This window comes from Homo sapiens, chromosome 16, assembly GCF_000001405.40.
Source record: "Homo sapiens chromosome 16, GRCh38.p14 Primary Assembly".
NCBI lineage: Eukaryota > Metazoa > Chordata > Mammalia > Primates > Hominidae > Homo > Homo sapiens.
In genome coordinates this window covers 16,320,366-16,339,153 of record NC_000016.10, presented here as the reverse complement: position 1 = coordinate 16,339,153, position 18,788 = coordinate 16,320,366, and the positions used below count along the sequence as shown (strand labels likewise).

General features: G+C 59.2%; 1 protein-coding gene, 2 non-coding genes and 2 pseudogenes across 7 annotated transcripts in view, besides 2 other annotated features; all 5 read right to left on the bottom strand.

Moving 5' to 3' along the window:
* NPIPA6 (nuclear pore complex interacting protein family, member A6) overlaps positions 1-7,277 on the bottom strand; it is an 18,732-nt gene extending 11,455 nt beyond the window's left edge. Inside the window, exons 1-3 of the mRNA NM_001423836.2 lie at positions 7,174-7,277; positions 5,270-5,507; positions 3,162-3,293 (exon numbers count right to left, since the gene is read on the bottom strand). Coding sequence (NP_001410765.1) covers positions 3,162-3,224 — 63 coding nt within the window. The 5' untranslated portion in view covers positions 3,225-3,293; positions 5,270-5,507; positions 7,174-7,277. The remainder of the gene's footprint in view (positions 1-3,161; positions 3,294-5,269; positions 5,508-7,173) is intronic.
* The window catches only part of LOC131696449 (PKD1P1-NPIPA5L readthrough), a 40,475-nt pseudogene that overhangs the window by 11,455 nt on the left and 10,232 nt on the right, over positions 1-18,788 (bottom strand). For 2 of the 3 annotated variants that reach the window (NR_172900.1, NR_036447.2), the window contains exons 11-30: positions 17,747-18,502; positions 16,717-16,848; positions 16,351-16,526; positions 15,865-15,998; positions 14,627-14,770; positions 14,220-14,499; positions 13,913-14,126; positions 13,687-13,846; positions 13,144-13,296; positions 12,145-12,289; positions 10,956-11,418; positions 10,347-10,503; positions 9,914-10,166; positions 9,594-9,789; positions 7,926-8,096; positions 7,696-7,839; positions 7,391-7,601; positions 7,174-7,300; positions 5,270-5,507; positions 3,017-3,102 (exon numbers count right to left, since the gene is read on the bottom strand). The product of NR_172900.1 is annotated as a PKD1P1-NPIPA5L readthrough, transcript variant 1 (long non-coding RNA). The remainder of the gene's footprint in view (positions 1-3,016; positions 3,103-5,269; positions 5,508-7,173; positions 7,301-7,390; positions 7,602-7,695; positions 7,840-7,925; positions 8,097-9,593; positions 9,790-9,913; positions 10,167-10,346; positions 10,504-10,955; positions 11,419-12,144; positions 12,290-13,143; positions 13,297-13,686; positions 13,847-13,912; positions 14,127-14,219; positions 14,500-14,626; positions 14,771-15,864; positions 15,999-16,350; positions 16,527-16,716; positions 16,849-17,746; positions 18,503-18,788) is intronic. The other variant, NR_172901.1, reaches the window with a different exon arrangement.
* PKD1P1 (polycystin 1, transient receptor potential channel interacting pseudogene 1) overlaps positions 6,677-18,788 on the bottom strand; it is a 22,344-nt pseudogene continuing 10,232 nt past the window's right edge. The window contains exons 11-28 of the transcript NR_187118.1: positions 17,747-18,502; positions 16,717-16,848; positions 16,351-16,526; positions 15,865-15,998; positions 14,627-14,770; positions 14,220-14,499; positions 13,913-14,126; positions 13,687-13,846; positions 13,144-13,296; positions 12,145-12,289; positions 10,956-11,418; positions 10,347-10,503; positions 9,914-10,166; positions 9,594-9,789; positions 7,926-8,096; positions 7,696-7,839; positions 7,391-7,601; positions 6,677-7,300 (exon numbers count right to left, since the gene is read on the bottom strand). The product of NR_187118.1 is annotated as a polycystin 1, transient receptor potential channel interacting pseudogene 1 (transcript). The remainder of the gene's footprint in view (positions 7,301-7,390; positions 7,602-7,695; positions 7,840-7,925; positions 8,097-9,593; positions 9,790-9,913; positions 10,167-10,346; positions 10,504-10,955; positions 11,419-12,144; positions 12,290-13,143; positions 13,297-13,686; positions 13,847-13,912; positions 14,127-14,219; positions 14,500-14,626; positions 14,771-15,864; positions 15,999-16,350; positions 16,527-16,716; positions 16,849-17,746; positions 18,503-18,788) is intronic.
* On the bottom strand, positions 9,790-9,849 carry MIR6770-2 (microRNA 6770-2). The gene has a single exon (NR_107060.1). It is a non-coding gene; the product is annotated as a microRNA 6770-2 (primary transcript).
* Positions 14,177-14,979: an enhancer, noted in NCBI's record as "H3K27ac-H3K4me1 hESC enhancer chr16:16418032-16418834 (GRCh37/hg19 assembly coordinates)". NCBI's record gives its function as "activates a minimal SCP1, AML or CMV promoter by ChIP-STARR-seq in primed H9 embryonic stem cells {active_cell/tissue: H9 hESC(primed)}" and the evidence as "EXISTENCE:reporter gene assay evidence [ECO:0000049][PMID:30033119]".
* MIR6511A2 (microRNA 6511a-2) lies at positions 14,500-14,566 on the bottom strand. Its single transcript, NR_106969.1, has one exon. It is a non-coding gene; the product is annotated as a microRNA 6511a-2 (primary transcript).
* Positions 15,049-15,904: an enhancer, noted in NCBI's record as "H3K27ac-H3K4me1 hESC enhancer chr16:16417107-16417962 (GRCh37/hg19 assembly coordinates)". NCBI's record gives its function as "activates a minimal SCP1, AML or CMV promoter by ChIP-STARR-seq in primed H9 embryonic stem cells {active_cell/tissue: H9 hESC(primed)}" and the evidence as "EXISTENCE:reporter gene assay evidence [ECO:0000049][PMID:30033119]".

Sequence of the window (18,788 nt, the reverse complement as noted above, 5' to 3'; positions counted from 1 at the left end):
TGATCTCAGCTCACTGCAACCTCCGCCTCCCGGGTTCAAGCGATTCTCCTGCCTCAGCTACTGAGTAACTGGGATTACAGGCGCCTGCCACCACGCTCGGCTAATTTTTGTCTTTTTAGTAGAAACAGGGTTTCACCATCTTGGCCAGGCTGGTCTCCAACTCCTGACCTCATGATCCACCTGCCTCGGCCTCCCAAAGTGCTGGCAATACAGGTGTGAGCCACTGCACCTGGCCAGTAGTTATCTTTTCTTTAGTTATTTACTTGTTTTTTAAATTGATGTATAACATTGGATGCATTTATTATATATCACATGGTAAAAGAATCCCTCTAAATAATACTTCTCTCTTGGATTATATGAATCTTTGTCATTTAAAGCTCAGCATAAGTAAAAAAAAAAAAAATACAATGAAGAGATTACTTCATTCACAAATAAGTATCGAATTTTAGTTCTTAAAAAGTAACAAGGTGGGCTGGGCGTGGTGGCTCACGCCTGCAATCCCAGCACTTTGGGAAGCCGAGGTGGGTGGACCGCGAGATCAGGAGATTGAGACCATCCTAGCTAACACGGTGAAACCCATCTCTACTAAAAATACAAAAAATTAGCAGGGCATGGTGGCACGCGCCTATAGTTCCAGCTACTTGGGAGGCTGAGGCAGAAGAATCACTTGAACCTGGGAGGTAGAGGTTGCAGTGAGCCAAGATCGCACCACTGCACTTCAGCCTGGGTGACAGAGCGAGACTCTGTCTCAAAAAAAAAAAAAAAAAAAATTACCAAGGTGGAGATCATGAAAATGGCATGAATAGCGTGGGATTTCTCTAAGATTGTTGATATTAATTCCATTAGACTCTTATGTGAGTGAAGACGAAGACTTCCCCTGAGTAAGTTCAGACAGCTTCTGATAACATTTCTACATCGATTCCTCAGGATTTAACTATATATTCTTGAAAACATCTCAATTTTAAATGTTTCTTTCAAGATGGTGAATTAAACAGAGATAGCCCTTCAACAGGTTGAACTCAGCATATGCTGAGTCTGAAATGGAAATGATGGAGTTAGAGAACCGTACAACAATGGTAATGATTTCAGAAACATGGTGTTGAGCAGAATAAAGCAGACACAAAAGAGTACCTATGGCATGGCATGCATCTGTATACGCGAAATTCCAGAATAAGCAAGCTAAGCTATGATAAGAAAGAGACTGGCTGGGAAGAGTGAGAGTTCACTTTCTGGGGTGACATAATAGTGTAGATCTTGGCTGGGCACGGTGGTTCACGCCTGTAATCCCAACACTTTGGGAGGCCGAGGCAGGCGGATCACCTGAGGTCGGGAGTTCAAAACCAGCCGGACCAACATGGAGAAACCCTATCTCTACTAAAAATACAAAATTAGCTGGGAGTGGTGGCACATGTCTGTAATCCCAGCCACTCGGGAGGCTGAGGCAGGAGAATCGCTCGAACCTGGGAAGCAGAGGTTGCGGTGAGCTGATATTGCCCCATTGCACTCCAGCCTCAGCAACAAGGGAGAAACTGTCTCAAATAAATAAATAAATAAATAAAATAATGTAGATCTTGAAAGGGGGTTGGTTTATGCTGGTGTATGTACTTTCCAAAGTTAGTAAACTTACACTTAAGGTTATATATTTTGGCCAGGCGCGGTGGCTCACGCCTGTAATCCCAGCACTGGGAGGCCGAGGCAGGCAGATCACGAGGTCAAGACATGGAGACTATCCTGGCGAACACGGTGAAACCCAGTCTCTACTAAAAATACAAAAATTAGCCAGGCGTTGTAATCTGAGCTGCTCAGGAGGCTGAGGCAGGACAATTGCTTGAACCCCGGAAGCGGAGGTTGCAGTGAGCCGAGATCTTGCCACTGCACTCCAGCCTGGGCGACAGAATGAGACTCTGTCTTAAAAAAAAAAAAAAAAGTCATCAAACCAGATGACACAAATCAAATGACATTTCACTTTGTTTTGGTCCGTTTTGTTTGTTAGAGACAAGAGTGCAGCGGGGCCATCTCGGCTCACTGCAACGTCCAGCTCCTGGGCCCAAGCGATCCTCCCACCTCAGCCTCTCCAGTAACTGGGATAACAGGTACGCACCACCAGGCCCGACTAATCTTTTTTGGAATTTTTTGTAGAGATGGGGTTTCGCTATGATGCCCTGGCTAGTCTTCAACTCCTGGACTCAAGTGATCTGCCCACCTCAGCCCCCTAAAGTGCTGGGATTACAGGCCTGAGCTGTGTAATTTCATGCCGCGTGACACAGCCCAGTAAAAAGGAAGAAACCCCGCGGGTCCAGCGTCTACTCACACAGGTGGACTGATGGCTGATAAATCCCAGCAGGAGCCAAAAGAGCAGCCACAGCACCCATCTACTCACACAGGTGGACTGATGGCTGATAAATCCCAGCAGGAGCCAAAAGAGGAGCCAAAAGAGCAGCCACCGCACCCGCATGTCCTGGTCCTTTCAGGGCGCCCTGAGGCAGCCAGGACAGAGGTGGAGGTGGCTTAGGGCAGGGGGGAGGGAAGGGGACGGGGACCGGGCCCGATCTGAGTTGGGGAGGGGGAGGGGAGGGGGAGGGGAAGGGGAGGGGAAGGGGGGAAGTAAGGGAAGGGAAAGGAGGAGAAGGGGGCTGTTGGGGAGGAGGAGGAGGAGAAGAAGAAAGGGGTCTGGGAAAGGATCCGGTTCAAATTAAGTTCTCAAGCGCTGGTGGAAGGTTTAGCTACAGGTCACGGAGAAGATCAGGGAAGCAACAGGACAGGCGGGGCAAGGGAGCGTGAGGCTTAGGAGCAATTAGGAGACAAAGGTTCTGCTTTCCACCAAACCTTCTTCGGTCTGGGCCCTCCCTTAGCAACCCTGGGGCTTTAGACTCTCTCTCCACCAATCCCTGATGACCCCGGTGGTGCCTCACAATGGACATTCCAAGTAGCGCCCGCATCATCCCAATGACCCCTCCCCCTTCTCAGTCCCCCACGCTCCTCCCAAGGCCAGGTCCTCTCTGGAACCTTCACAAACCTGATTTCTGGTCCTCCCCAACCAGCTCCCTGTCCCTGCTTCTGGGTGCTCCTTCCTTCCTGAGCTCCCAGGGTTCCTCAAGGTCACTTTTGGCGACAAAACATAAAAAACAAATGATGGCAGGATGGCAGGAAGAACCTCATACCCAAGCAGAGTGCCAGGTTTTACAGCCTCCGCTCAGCCATTCATATCCTAAGCAACAAAACATCAGCAGGATGCGGAAGGTCCCGATAGTAAACCATCTCCATCACATCCATGTAGCCATCCGTCCATCAACCTGTATCTCAGGAACAAATGTACATACATTCATTTTAAGCATGCATGGTACATTTACAAAAATTAACCTGACTTATTTTGTTCCAGCAAATCTCAATATATTTGAGAGCAATCAAATCACACAGCATGTTTCTGATCATAAAACTGTGCTAGAAGTCAATGATTAAAAGCTAATTCAAAATTATTATTTGCTTGGAAATTCAAAGTGCCCTTATAAGACATAAACATAAGAAAGAATCCAAAATGAAACAAGATTGCCTTTCAACTCAATGATGAGATCATAACATGGCAATAAAATGTCTCCCTCTGGCCTGGGAATTCCTCTTTGTGGCACAAGGTTGTGTGATCTCAAATCACCCCTAACCCACCTAGACATTTTAACATCCGAAACCGAGTGATGATGTCCTTATCTATATCATCTTACTGCCCGTGTGTGTGGACTTTAAATTCTGAACCCAAATGAGGGGGAGAAAACCAAGCTGACTTTCATGACTGAGCTCTCAGGGACGTCCAAGGAATCTGTGCATTTCAAGAAACAAAGTTCATCAGCTTCTCTCCTAAGGTATTTGCCCACAATACCCAGAGGGCTTGGCAGCATCATGTGTGATGGGTGGGGAGCTCCAAGCAGGTGGGCAGGACCCAGGGGCCTGGTGACCAGGACAGACCCCCACTGTCCATCACCTTTCCTGGCCCTGTCCTCAGCTAAACTTCCCACAGGCCTTCTGCCCGATCACACAGAGTGTGCCCAAACTCAGGCCTCTGGCAGCTGAAAACCACTGCTTTAAATCCCTTTACCATTTACTATGACATAAGGTTATTGTAAACAGGAAATATTCTATTGATGCTACAAATGGAAAGCCAATGCCTTTACCATAAATAGAAAAACAACCCTAAGAAGCAAGCAAAACAAAAACAAAACAGGGGCTGGGGGTGGTGGCTCACGCCTGTAATCCCAGCACTTTGGGAGGCCGAGGTGGGCGGATCACAAGGTCAGGAGTTCCAGACCAGCCTGGCCAATATGGTGAAACCCTGTCTCTAATAAAATACAAAAATTAGCCGGGTGTGGTGGTGGGCGCCTGTAGTCCCACCTACTTGGGAGGCTGAGGCAGGAGAACAGTTTGAACCCGGGAGGCAGAGTCTGCAGTGAGCCGAGATTGCACCACTGCACTCCAGCCTAGGCGACAGAGCGAGACTCTGTCTCAAAAACAGCAACAACTACAAACAAACAAAAAACAGGGTTAACAAAACTATGGAATTCAATTCTATTTATATGCTGCAGCCATGTTCCAGCCCTAGATTTGGCTGGGCATGGTGGCTCACGTCTGTAATCCCAGCACTTTGGGAGGCTGAGGCAGGCGGATCACGAGGTTAGGAGTTCGAGACCAGCCTCACCAACATGCTGAAACCCCGTCTCTACCAAAAATACAAAAATTAGCCAGGCATGGTGGCACACGCCTGTAATCCCAGCTACTCAGGAGGCTGAGGCAGGACAATCCCTTGAACCTGGGAGGCGGAGGTTGCAGTGAGCCGAGATCGTACCATTGCACTCCAGCCTGGGTGACAGAATGGAATGAGACTCTGTCTCAAAAAAAAAAAAAAAAAAAGAAGAAGCCCTAGATTTCGGTTGTGTTGGTTGTAAAAGGAGAGACCCAGTAAGTGGGGGTCGTGCCGCAGATTGCTACCCACAATGGACGGGTCACTGAGCAGGTCCGGCCAACTGGGCGTTCCCTCGCTGGAGGGCCAGCACACCAGACTGCAGGTGGCGCGGGTCAGCAAGGTACCAGGGGATGTGTCACACACACAGCCCACCCCCGTCCAGTCACGCACGGACACCCTGGGCTTCCGAGCAAACCTGCTCCCAGGTGGTGTGACCACATGGAGCCACAGACACCCAGCAAGGACACGCAGCCCGCACACCCCCGGTACTCCAGACACAGTGACCTGCACCAGGGCTCGAGGTTTCTCTAGGGAACCCACCTCTTAGAATCATCCAGAAACAAGTCACTCTTCATCTGTCCAGCAAAGGCCTGCTGAGAGGTGCACAGGGTCTTGAGTCCAAGCTGCGCCAAGGCGGCAGGACCCCCAGTAGAGCCCTCACCTCAGCGTGGAGGCCTGAGAACGTGAGGAAGGAGCTGTCCAGCACGGATGAGTCCAGGCAGCTGTCGACGTCCAGCACCTGCTGCCCGGCAGGTGTGGGGCTCGGGCTCCCAGCCACCTGCAGGACAAGGGCAGTGGTCAGCGGGCAGCAGCTCAGACCTGCTCAGGACAGGGATGAGAAGCCACCTCCTCAGCAGACAGGACAGAGCCCGGTGCCATCTGACAGAATGTTCTAGAATGCTAGATATATGGGACATCTGCACCGTCCGTGATGGCAGCCCCTCGCGACATGTGCCACTGAACGGTTGACAGCAGACTGGTGCAGCTAAGGAACAGAGTTTTAAATTTCATTTTTTTTTTTTTTAGATGGAGTCTCGCTCTGTCACCCAGGCTGGAGTGCACTGGCGCAATCTCAGCTCACTGCAACCTCCACCTCCCGCGTTCAGGCGATTGTCCGTCCTGGCTCAGCCTCTTTAGTAGCTGGGATTACAGGTGCCTGCCACGATGCCCAGCTAATTTTTTGTATTTTTAGTAGAGACGGGGTTTCACTGTGTTGGCCAGGCTGGTCTTGGAACTCCTGACCTCAAGTGATCTGCCCGCCTCCGCCTCCCAAAGTGCTGGGATTACAGGTGTGAGCCACCACACCCGGCCATCGTTCCATTTTAATTAACTTAAATACGAGCAGCCACATGTGGCCTCTGGTTCCTGCCACGGACTCGGGAGCAACCCCTGCTGGTCGCGGCTTATGCGCCTTCTCTGTGTGCTGCTGGGGTTAGTTTGCATGTAACCTCTTGAGGACCCCACGTGTGCATTCCTAAGGGGTGCGGCCTCCCGTTTCCGTATGAATGGGAAGAGTTCCCACCTGCTGTATTCTTGGAAAGAGTCTGTGAAGGATTGGTGTTAATTCTTCCTTAACTGCTTAGAAAAATTCTATCGTGAAGGCTCTGAGCCTGGGCTTTTCTTTGTGGGATTTTTTTTTTTTTTTTTTTTGGAGACGGAGTCTTGCTCCGTTGCCCAGGATGGAGTGCAGTGGCGCAATCTCGGCTCACTGCAAGCTCCGCCTCCTGGGTTCATGCCATTCTCCTGCCTCAGCCTCTCGAGTAGCTGGGACTACAGGCGCCCGCCACCATGCCCAGCTGTTTTTGTATTTGTAGTAGAGATGGGGTTTCATTGTGTTGGCCAGGCTGGTCTCGAACTCCTGACCTCAACTGATCTGCCCGCCTCGGCCTCCCAAAGTGTTGGGATTACAGGCATGAGCCACCGTGCCTGGCCCTTTTTAATGTTTTATATAGATGGGGTCTTGCTATGTTGCCCAGGCTGGTCTCAAACTCCTGGACTCAGATCCGCCCACCTCGGCCTCCTGAAGTGTTGGGATTACAGGCGTGAGCCACCACACCCGGCCCGGCCACTGGGAGGTTTCTAAGGGACTAACTCGGCCTCTTCACTTGCTATAGATGTACTGAGATTTTCTTCTGGAGTGCATTTCGGAAGCGTGCACAGCCGCGTGCTTGCTTCTTCTGAGTTATCTGGCGTGCTGCTGTGCAGTTGTCCGTGGCGTCTGCTTAGCGAAGTGCCCTCGTTCTTTCACGATTCTGGCTTCTGAGTCTTCTCTCTTTCTCCCTGGTCAGTCTAGCTAAGGCTGCTCAAGTGTGTTGACCCTTCCCGAGCAGCCTTTGGTGGACGCCTTTCCCTCTGGCTGCAGCACTGGAAAGTGGCGGCCCTGGGCATGGTGCCGAGGCCCAGGCTCCATTCCCAGTACTCCCGGGTCCCCAGCCCCAGCCCACCTTGCTCCGGGACATCCGGAAGAGAAAGAGGATGGCCAGGTAGACGGGATAGACAACCACGCTGGACACCAGGCCAACAGCGACTGTGTCGACGCTCAGCGGGTTCAGCCTGGACACACGCCCCGTGCTGTGTGGAGGAGAGGAGGCCACACAGGTGAGGCTGAGGGGCAGGAAGGGCTGGGCAGGAAGAGGCTGTCCCGACCCCTACGGCACCCACCTGTAGGCAGAGTCTCCAACAGCCCCGTACCACACGGCGTTGGCGCCCAGGAAGAGACAGATGAGGAGAACGCAGCAGGTGGCCCTCTGGATGCGAGTGAAACAGCTCCGAGGCGGCCGGTCCCATATGGAGAGCCAGATGTGCTTGTCAAAGAAGCCACGCTGCAGCTCAGCCACCAGCAGGCGCCGGAAGCGCAACAGGGCTGCGTGACCTAGAAGGCAGGGAGGGCCGCACTGCAGGAGGCCACGGGGCAGGACCACCCTGCCCAACCTCCCACGGAGTGGGAACACGGAACGAGGCCTTACTCGCGGCCAGCACCTCCTTCTCCACCAGGCCCCCGTTGGCCTCCGTCTCCACCGAAAGCCAGTCATTGACCAGGAAGAAGGTGCTGCGTGCCGTCTGCAGGTCCCTGACGATGATGTGCTGCAGGAACCAGGCAGGGCTGAGCCCTGCAGAGGCGCGGGAGGGAGGTCAGGTTCGCAGGGCGCCCCAATGCAGGGGCAGAGGGGCAGAGCTTGGCAGGGTCCATACAGACCTTTGTTGTCGTGCCACACTCGGATCTTCCACATGCTACCCAGGCTGTGCGGGGTGGCGATCTGGAAGATGTCCAGACTGTTGCGGTGGAAGGCTCTGTCGCCGTCCAGGTGCCGGTGGCCGCTCCGGCTGTCCACCCCATACAGCATGATGCCCACGTGGGCCGTGGTACCTGGAGGGCAAGAGGGAGGGGTGGGAGGCTCGGTCTGCTGCCCAACACGTGTGGCATCCCAGGCAAGTCATCTCAGCTTTGGCCTCCGCGCACTCAAGGAGCCACACAGGCAGTCCCGGCTTTGCACAGCTCTGCTATACACGAGGAGCTGCGGTTACTGCAATTTGTCCAATAAACAGCAGGACCTCAAGGACATGATTAAGTTACATGGAAAGAACTGTAACTTGTAACATGCAAACATGGCTGCACACGCCTCAGTCCACACCACAACCAGTGACCCGCACTGCACACCTGTCCACACCTCAGTCACGCCACAACCGGTGACCTGCACCACACACCCGTCCCTCAGTTCATGCACAGACTGCGAAGCGTGAAGCTGTGTCACCTCCTCTCCCAGTGACAGACCCAGGTGACAGTATTTTTTTTTTTTTTTTTTTTTGAGATGGAGTCTTGCTGTGTCACCCAGGCTGGAGTGCAGTGGCGCAATCTCAGCTCACTGCAAGCTCCGCCTCCCGGGTTCACGCCATTCTCCTGCCTCAGTCTCCCGAGGAGCTGGGACTACAGGCGCCTGCCACCACGCCGGCCTAATTTTTTTGTATTTTTTAGTAGAGACAGGGTTTCACCGTTAGCCAGGATGGTCTCGATCTCCTGACCCCGTGATTAGCCTGCCTCAGCCTCCCAAAGTGCTCGGATTACAGGTGTGAGCCACCGCACCCGGCCGACAGTTTTTAAAAGTAGGTAATCAAAAGAAAGAACTGGGAAATGAAGATGAAAGCAGCATGGAAATAAAAAATGGGAACACGGCCAGGTGTGGTGGCTCACACCTGTCATCCCAGCACTCTGGCAGGCCGAGGCAGGCGGATCACCTGAGGTCAGGAGTTCGCCTGGCTGACATGGTGAAAAATTAACTGGGTGTGGTGGTGTGCACCTGTACTCCCAGCTACTCAGGAGAATCGCTTAAGGGGAATCGCTTAAACCCAGGAGCTGGAAGTTGCTGTGAGCCAAGATCACGCCATTGCACTCCAGCCTGGGCAACAGAGCGAGACTCCGTCTCCAAAAAAAGAAAAACGAAAACAAAAAGGGAATGCCAGAAGGGCAATTCCAAAGAAAGGAAAATGGAGGTATTGAAGAAACAGCCACGGGGAGGGTGCTGGCGCCTCCGTCTGAGAGACGAGCTATGCAGTCAGGATCGCGGGTGGATGCATGGTCTCCCACAGTGGTAGCGATGCTCACGTAACTTGTGGGGCTACGCTACTGTGTAGAACGTGGGCTGCCCACCCTGACTGACTGGCACCTACTTCCAGCTAGGAGCTGTCCTAGTCCTCAGGGACAGTGAGTGCTCACGAGGTCATTCCCAGGATGAACACACGAGCCCTTCACACAGCACTGCAAAAACTGCCTTGTTCTGACGCCTGCGACGAGACTCACTCCCAGAGGGTGCAACCAGCACAGCCAGTGAGAGCAGGGGAGGCCCTGCCACCCCGCCGCGCCCCTCACCTGAGCCCCGGCCCCAGCCTGTCTTGACGAGGATCTCGTACTTGAAGCGGCCCCGCTGCCCACAGAAGGGGATGGCGCAGCCCCGGCTGGCATCCAACTGGTCCAGCTTGTGCAGGATGGCGGCCATGACCATGTAGGTCACCAGGCACACAGCACATGTCAGCATGACGATGTAGTTTACATCCGCTGTTGGCTCCTGTGAAGACACAGCCGCCAGGCCCAGGAGGTCACGTGCAAGCTGTGCCTTCTCAGGATAGAGCCGAGCCCACCCAGGCCCTCCTCGACTCTGCAGAGGCTCCCAGGAGCACAGGGTCACTCACAGGAAACACAAAGCGTACATGGCTTGGGGGCATGAAGAGGCTGGTGCCGAAGGCGGTGAGGTGGCGGGTGAGGCAGACGGCCTGGCGGGGCGAGGTCTCCTCCAGGGGCAGCAGCCCCTCTGTCCGCCACACCACGTCCTCCTCGCTGAAGTACTGGCACAGGGACGTGTACAAGCCCACGGACACCTCCAGCGCCGACCAGCGGAAGTGGCTGGAGAGGTTCAGACGGTAACTCCCCACTGGGTCTCTGGTCCTGGGAAGGGAAGGGGCAGTGGACGTGAGCCCAGGCTCCGCCAGGTTGGATGTCGGAGTCCCAGAGCCCATACCCGGTCCAGTCCCCTCGCTGCCTGCCGTCCCCACGGGGCCCGTAACCCGGGCAATGCTGACCCATGATGCCCTGCCCTGCCCTGCCAGGCCGGCCCGCAGAGCTCACCCCGGGGAAATGAAGAAGGTGTAGGGCCGGTGGTCGGCACCCTGGAGGGACTCTGGGCGGATCCTCCTGCTAGCCGAGCAGTTGCGCTCATTGGGCCGGGGCTCCGAGTGCAGGTAGACTGCCAGGTAGGGCTCGGGTTCCTCAGACAGGTAGCGGCCTGGGGCAGAACGCGCAGGTCACACGCCTGCCGGGAAGCTCAACCACCCGGGGGACACCCACGATGGCCCTCCTGAGCCCACCCTCTGCCATGGGCCTGAAAGGCCATAGGAGCCTCTGCACCAGAGCTGGCACCTGCTTCTCCGTGGCCCCCAGCTCCTCTCCGGCCAGGCCCCCAGCAGCCCATGAAACAGAAAGCAAATTTCACCAGAGACACCCATGGAAGCCCTACGAGAAACGCCTTCCCCCCAAGAACAAGGCCAGGGGGCCGCGTGTGCCCCAACCGCTGCATGCACCGTCCAGCAGCGTATAGTTGAGCTGCAGATGCAGCACGGCCGCAGGGTTGCTGCTGTCCAGGGTGACCACAGCACCGACGGAGGCCTGGGGCTGGACCACAACGGAGTTGGCGGAGCTGCGGTGGCCCCGGGCAGCCCAGTCCGAGTTGTTGGGCACCTTCACGGTGAGGCGCGCTCTGAGGCCAGCCGCTCGATGGGGATCTGGGCGCCGGCCTGTGTCTGGAACGCCATCGAGGCCACCTTGGTGGAGACGGTGTAGTTGCTGATATAGCCAAAGGGAAAGGGATTGGAGTCCACCAGAAAGATGAGCTGCACCACGTCACTGAGGTTGGCCGGGGCCCTGCTGAAAGCCTAGGGGATGGAGAAGTGGCAGCCAGGCCCTGGGGCGCCGCCATAGCACAGCAGGCTCCGCGGGTCCGAGCGCTTGCCCTGGGCCACGATCTCCTCACCCGCCAGCGTCAGGGGCTCCTCGTTGAGCACGCGGGAGCGCGTGACGATGGGCGTGAGGGCAGAGGTCAGGTTGTAGGCCTGGGACGCCACCATCCGCGATGGTGACTCGGCTCCCAGCTCTGAGCGCTGTGGTGCCCGCACGTCTGAGCTGGCCAGGTGGATGAGGTCTCCTGCAGACAGGCGTGAGGTCAGTGCAGAGACAGGGAGGCAGAGGGAGGGTGGGGGCAGGCAAAAAGGGGGAGCCGGAGGGTGGGGACTGGGAGAAAGGGGGAACCTGAGGGGGCAGAGAGCGAGGTGCAGGCAGAAGGAAGAGGGAAGCTGGAGAGAGAGTGGTGGAGGGGGAGGGGGAAGGGGATGGGGATGAGGACGAAGATGAGGGGGATGATGGGGAGAGGGAGGAAAAAGGAAGGAAAAGGGTAGAGAAAAGAGAAAGGGGAGAAGAAGAGGAGCAGGGTGAAAGGGAGGGGAAGGGGATAAGGGGGATAAGGGAGGGGAAGGGGGATAAGGGAGGGGAAGGAGGATAAGGGGGATAAGAAAGATGAGGGGAATGGACAAAAGGACGGGGAGGATCGGGGGGGAAATGGAGAAAAGGGGAGAGAGATGGAGAAAAGGGATGGTAATAGGGAAGGGGGAGGGGGAGGAGAATGGGAATTGGGGGAGGGGGATAAGGATGGGAATTGGGGGAGGGGGATAAGGATGGGAATTGGGGGAGCGGGATGAGGATGGGAATTGGGGGAGGGGGATGAGGATGGGAATTGGGGGGAGGGGAGGGGGACGAAGATGGGATGGGGCAAAGGCGAGGCGGTTGTGGGGAGGAGGGAGGCAGAGGAAAGGGCGGCATGGGGCGGACGGGCCACGTGGGGCGGGCGGGTGGCGTGGGGCACGGGCCGCGGCACCTGTGATGTTGAGGATGCTGTCTCCGATGGCGGTGGGCGTCACGGTGCCCGCGGTGGTCTCTGCCTGCAGGATGCGCATCATGGCCTCCAGCTTGTGCAGCGTCTGCTTCAGGCACGAGCGGCATACGAGCTCCCTGCTGGGCCCCTGTGTGGAGCCAGCAGTGTCCAGCCCCGCTCCTGGCCCCACTCCTTGCACACGCCCTCCTCTCTACACGGGTCCTCACCTGGCTCCCACCCCCAGCCCTGCAGCTGGAGAGCCCACTTGACTGGACCCCCACAGCCTCCTCACTAAGCATTTTTTGTGGCTCTGCATGACCCAGGGCCTCCACCTGGGGAACACGTGATGCAGCCCACTGACCACACAAGGCACCTCTTCACATGAGAGAAGGAGGAGGGCAGAAGGGAGAGAGGAGAGGGAAGTGGAGAAAAGGGGGGAGAGGAGAGGGAAGGAGAGAGAAGGGGGAGAGGAGAGGGAGGGGAGGAAGGAGGAGGGGAGGGGTGAGGGGATGGAGGGGCTGGGGGAGGAGTGGAGGGGCTCAGCGGGATGAGGTGAGGGGAAGGTCTAGGGGAGGGGAGGAGGGGAAGGGCTAGGGGAGGGGAGGGGCTGGGGGAGGAGGCAGGGGCTAGGGGAGGGGGGAGGGACTAGGGGAGGGAAGGGGGAGGGGAGGGGTTAGGGGAGGGAAGGGGAGGGGAGGGGCTAGGGGAGGGAAGGGGGAGGGGAGGGGAGAGTGGAGGGCACAGAGCAGCATCTTCTTAGTCCCTCCCCACATCTGGGCCCCTCTTTACACCCTGGGTCCCCCGAGAGGCACCCTGCGTTCACACAGGACAGCAGAATGGCTGAGGCTACTGAAGCAGGTCAGAGACCGAGGAACGCCATGGCAGGAAGGAGCCCAGGCTGGAGGCTCAGCTCCTCGGCCAAGCTGCCCGTCTGCCCTGGGGGGCTGAACCCAGTACCCTGGCAGGCATGCGGGGCGGGGAGAGCATGTGGGGCCATCCTACCATGCACTGGGCCAGCGCAGCAGCGATCTGCTGGATGTCATCCACAGTGTGGACCCTCAGGGACACCAGAGTCTCCGTGATGTTCTTGCGTATCTGGGCTCGGCGCTGCCGCTCGTGCTTGGGCTCTGCCGCCACGTCCAGGGCCCGCTCGTACTGGGGCAGGCAGGGGGCACAGCAAGCTGTCAGCAGGGCAGGAGGCCGGCAGGAGGCCAGCAGATGCCCACGACTCCCGGGGTGCAGTTACGTGCTAGATGCTGTGTGATGTGGGCACTGACCCGCAACACTGAGCTGTTTCTTCATGGGCAAAACAGGGTAAGCACATGGGCCCTCCTGGGCGGGGGCTGCATTGTGGAAAGCAGACGCCGGAGAGGGCCTGGTGGGTGTGGCTGCTGGGAGCGGAACGTCGGGGTGCTGCTTCAGGGTCACTGGGATTTATCTCTGGGGCCCGGGATGAGCCCTCCGCAAAGCTCCAGGCAGGGGAACAGGTCTTGGTCCCCAGCACGCATGCAGCAGATGTGAGGTCCCCTCCCAGGCTGCACTCACCTCGTTCAGCACAGTGACCAGGGCCAGCGAGTACTCGATGACGTGCTGGGGATCGGCCTGCCGCAGCAGCCCCGGGAGCACACTAGCGGTGAGCCCGTGCAGCCAGACTGTGAGCCCCATTGCGCTGCCGTTGGGCTCTGGGAGGGTGATGGCCAGAGACCTACGAGCAGAGGGGGGTGGTGAGCAGGTGGCAGTCTCGGGGGCGCCCTCCCACGGCCTGGCTCACCTGTTGAGGGCGACCACAGCGGCTCCCAGCTGGTCCTGCACCACCACGGCCAGGCCCACCTCGAAGTGTGGCCTGAAACCCGGGGGCAGCACGGCTCCGTAGCCGGAGAGGCTGCCCTTGTAGACACAGAACTCCTCGCAGTGGCCCTGGCGACAGCGCTGCAGCAGCAGGGCGTACACCAGCGGGGCGCCAGCATCCTCCGCGTCATGCCAGCCTGAGGGACGGTCCCCACGGCATCACAGGAGGGCTCCGTGACCTCACAGAGTCGGGGGATCCCGCTGCTCCCCCTACGCAGGCCTGCACTCACCCATGCATTCGAAGTGCACCTTGGTGGTGAGAGCGTGCACAGCGCCCAGTGGGAAGAGGCAGCAAGAGCCCCCCAGCGGCGGGCGGTTGGGGGACAGGGGGATGGAGGCGCAGCCCTCCTCCTCGCCAGAGCGGCCCAGCACCGTCAGCGTGAAGGTGTATCCCTCGCCGTCCCGCAGCACGCCCCGCCGCAGCACCAGTCACATGCCTGCGCTGCCCGTGGATGTGGTGGTCTCATCCAGCACCAGCGTCTTGTTGCTGAACGTACGTGCAGCCCACCGCTGCAGGCAGAAGGGATGGTGAGGGGGCGCAACCCTCTGCCCTGTCAGCCCCACTTCTGCCTGCAGGCCCCGTCCCCTCGGCCATGGGACCCATCCCCAACCCGCCCACACCCCGCTCAACACTCACCCCTCGCTTGGAGCCGCTGCTGCAATTGAGGCAGCGGCCCTCCAGGTACACGTAGGAGCTGCGGCTCACTTCGTACACGGCCTGTGCCTTGCAGGACACACACTCCAAGGACACAATGGGCACCCGGCCACTGCGGATCAGCACCTGGCGTGGGAGTGGGGTTACCTCCAACACAGGTCTATTTGGCCTGCTGGAAGGTCTGGGGGACCCGTGGAGGATGCTGCTCCCAAACTCCAGGTTTCCCAGGGGCCTGGCCACTGCCGGTGAGCTCACCCCCTCCCAGGATACTCATCCGGTTTGCCACCTTCCAACCTGGGCGGCGGAAGGGCATACACAGGGCAGAGGACACTGGGGTGTGCGTTCTGGTGTACTGGACCCAGCTGGACCCTGGCAGGAGGCAGGCAATGCTCACTGAGGGCCCCTGGGGGGATGCGTGTGGGAACAGACGTATGTGTGGGTGTGAGGACCGCAGTTGCCACGTAGGCCTGACTCACAGACTCCTGCAGCCCTTAGCCAGGGCCTGGGTCAGGAGGCTGAGCCGGGATGGAACCTGCTCCCACACCCTCCCCTCAGACGACCCCTCTGGGCAGACCCCCAATCAGGCCAGCTGAGGAAAGCAGGGACTGGGGAACAGACACCCACTCTGGGGTACCAGCAGGCCCCAGTCAGGGAGGCGCACACGCTCACAGAGGGCAGGGAGGCGCACACGCTCACAGGCACCTGCTGCGTCCGGTTCTCGAAGGCATTAGATGCCAGCAAGGTCAGGACGTACTCACCTGTGGGGACAGGCCCAAGTGGGGCAGCCGCGGCACCCCCACCTGCTCCCCACCCGCTCGGCAGAAGCCCCCCGCCTGAGGAGCCCGGGGTGAACGGCTGCACCTGCGGCCCAGCCTTAAGGGTCCCAGGCTCCCAAGCCACGTGCGGGACGGAGCACAGGTGCAGCAGCACTGAGGGCTGCCTGGTGAGGACGGCACCGCCTCCAAGTGCAGCTGCACTCGGGGCAGCAGAGCAGCAAGAGCCAGGCCGCGGTGGGGGGCAGTTCAGGGGGCCCAGCTTCCCTGTCCACTCCTCCCACGCCTGGCCCCTCCCTCACCCCAGTAGGGGCCTAAGCCATCAGCCCAGGTGAGGTCACAGTGAGGGCTGTTGGGGAGGAAGCGGGGCAGCTTGACTGGGGGACTGGGGGGGCCCCGTGCTCAGAGCCTGAAAGGCAGTGGCCCCCTCACCCCCTCATCCCTCACCTGGGGCAGCGTAGGTGTGGGTGACATTGTGCTCCACCAGCACCTGGGCCACCGAGGGGTCTGGAACCGGGAAGGACTCGTTGTACGGAGGCTGGAACTGGTGGAGGGCCTGCTCCCCATCCCCAAAGGTCCACCTGCCGGGGCGGTGGGAGGCAGTGAGTGAACCGGGACAGGGGTGCGCAGTGGCGGGGCACAGGTGCGCGGTGGCGGGGCAGGGGGTGCTTGGGACCCAGCCGAGGCTCCACTCTGCAGTCACGCCCCGGGCCTCCATTCAGGGCCCACCCGGCTGTGCTGAGGCCTCTCCCGGCTCCCGTGCAGCCTCAGGGCTCCTGTGCACCCAGTACCTCCCAACAGACAGGGAAACCGAGGCTCAGAAAAGCAACCCCCTGATGTGGGGTCCCTCGGCTGAGGCTGGAGCCGGGACAAGAGCCTGGTGCCCGGACAAGAGCCTGGTGCCCACCCCAAACCGGCCCCTGAGTCACTCACAGGAAGGCCACCTCCACGGCCGAGTCCACCAGCACGCCCGCCGTCAGTGCCAGCGTGGCATTGGGGGACAGCACGGCTGGCACTGTAGAGACCCGCAGGCCCTGCATCCTGTTCATCCGCTCCACGGTGATGTTGTAGTTCACGGTGACGTTGCTCACGTGGTTGGAGGCCGTCAGCTGCAGGGACAGGCATCAGTGGGCCCAGGTGGCAGGTGAGAGGCCTGCCCTGCTTGGCGTCCCTCCCTCCACTCACCACAGCCATGGCAGCGTCCTCGGGCAGCATGAAGCAGAGCAGAAGGCAGAGGTGAAGGTGGAGCCCGCCCCCGCCCCGCCCCATCCCCTCCCCTCCCCACTCCCGCCCACCTACTGAGAGCTTGAAGACCGCCGCGCTCTGATAAATGACATTGAAGACCACGTTCTGGAAGGTCAGGGACTGCTTGTCGTTGATGGTCCACCGGAAGACCATGTCCGAGCCGGCCTCCACCACGGGGCTGTACCTCTGCGGGGGGACTGGTGTCAGCCTGGGCTCTGTGGAGGACTCTGCCCTTAGCCTGTCGCCTCCTGGACACACCTCCCGTCGGGCTGGAGAGTCCCACGCGGGGCACAGAGGAGAGGAGGTGCCCGGGGCTCTGCATGCCATGAGAGCCAAGCCCGGGCTGGGACACTGACTGTCCGGCTCTCCAGCCAGCCATGTAGTACTACTAATGCCTCAACCTCTCTGTGCCTCAGTTTCCCCATCTGTAAAGCAAACCTAGTACCAGCTACAAAGAGTCCACCTCTCTCTGAGTCTTCTCAGACCCTCCCGGGGCTCCTGCCCCAGCTCCTCAGCCAGAGAGCTCGGAGCAGTGAGGGGAGGCACACGGGCCTCACAGGGACAGCACCTACACTGGCTTACAGAACCCAGGACAGGCTGCACAGGTCACGCCATTTCTGATGGCCCCTCCCAAGGCCCCTGGTGAAGGGGCAGGTACCCGCAAGATGGAACAGCCCTGTCCCCCATGTACCCAGCATGGTGGCACTGCGGGCAGCCCGCAGTTTCCCATCAGGGGTTCGGACTCCACCTCAAAAGCCACTTGCTTTAGCCAGGCGAGAACACAGCAGAGGGCGTGAGAGACTCACGGGGACTCGTGTGAGGTCAGGGAGCGGAGTTTTAAATTCATTTCGTGAAATGAGACGGTGGAATGAGTTAGCGGAGCCGCTGTCAGAGCCGTGACTTTCCAGGAATTTAAAGCCCACCAGGTAGCCTGAGGAGCCAGCCAGCAGGACCTGCCCGGGGCCGACGTCCCCAGTAACTGGGCTGCCGCCCTCACTGGGAAGCCAGGCCTCACGCCCTGTGTGAGCACCCTGTCTGCAGGCACCTGCCTGGGGGCTGGTGGTGGAGCCTCGGCCATACTCACCACTGGGACTCCCTGCAGTACACGGGCCTCGGGGCTGGGCGTGGCGCGGAGGCCACAGATGGGCTCCTCCGCCGTCACCCGCAGGCTGAGGTTGGCCCGGCTGGCGCTGTTTTCCACCACAACGTCCATCACGTGCTCCCCCTCACCGAGCCACGGCAGTGCTACCACTGAGAACAGGGTATCATTGGTCTCCCAGGGGCAGCTGGGCACGAAGGTGGCCACCAGGGCAGGGCAGGCATTCTCAAAGCGGGCGCTGACACTGCCCCCAGGCCAGCGAGCCGTGGCCGTGGCGCTGGCACCAGAGTCCACCTGGAGCACCGAGGCTGAGCCGTTGGTGGGCACGTAGAGGCGGCCGTCGCGGGGGGCAGGGTAGATGACCCGCAGCCCAGCCACTGGGGAGACCACGTCAAAGCTGCAGGACAGGTTGTGCCTGGACACGCCATTGCCCACCTCTGCCCGGACCTCATAGCGCCCAGGCAGCCGCAGCCCAGGGTTGGGCCTCAGGCCCAGCAGCACGGTGAGCTGTTCCGTGGCTGCAAGCAGCCGCAGGGCACAGGCAGGGCAGGCCCAAGTGCCCTCCAGCTGGGCTGGCAAGTGGGGCAGCCATGACGAGGCGTTGGCGGAGAGGTACGGGGCCTGGGGACCAGGGTGGCCGGGAGCCGGCGAGCAGTGCGGGAGGGCGCCAGGGCCAGCGTCGTGCTGCAAGCCAACGAGGTCACCAGGGAGCATGAGGACATCCTGGCCGTGGAGGGTGACCTGTGGAGAGGGAGGCAGGGCTGCATCACGTCCTCACGGTCATGGCCCGTGGACCCCTGCACGACGGATGAGGGTGGACACGCAGGGCTCCCCGCTTCGTCAGCCACACCTCAGGGAGCCTCCCCACAGTGCTCGTGACAAGGACAGGCAGGACAGTTGCAGACAGGGGGACACACGGGGAGAGGACACAGGCCAAGACCTGACAGACAGGAAGGAGCGGCTGTGCTGGGAGAGAGGAAGAGGAGGCACAGCTCGTGCCAAGGGCCCAGGCGAGAGCTTCTCCCAC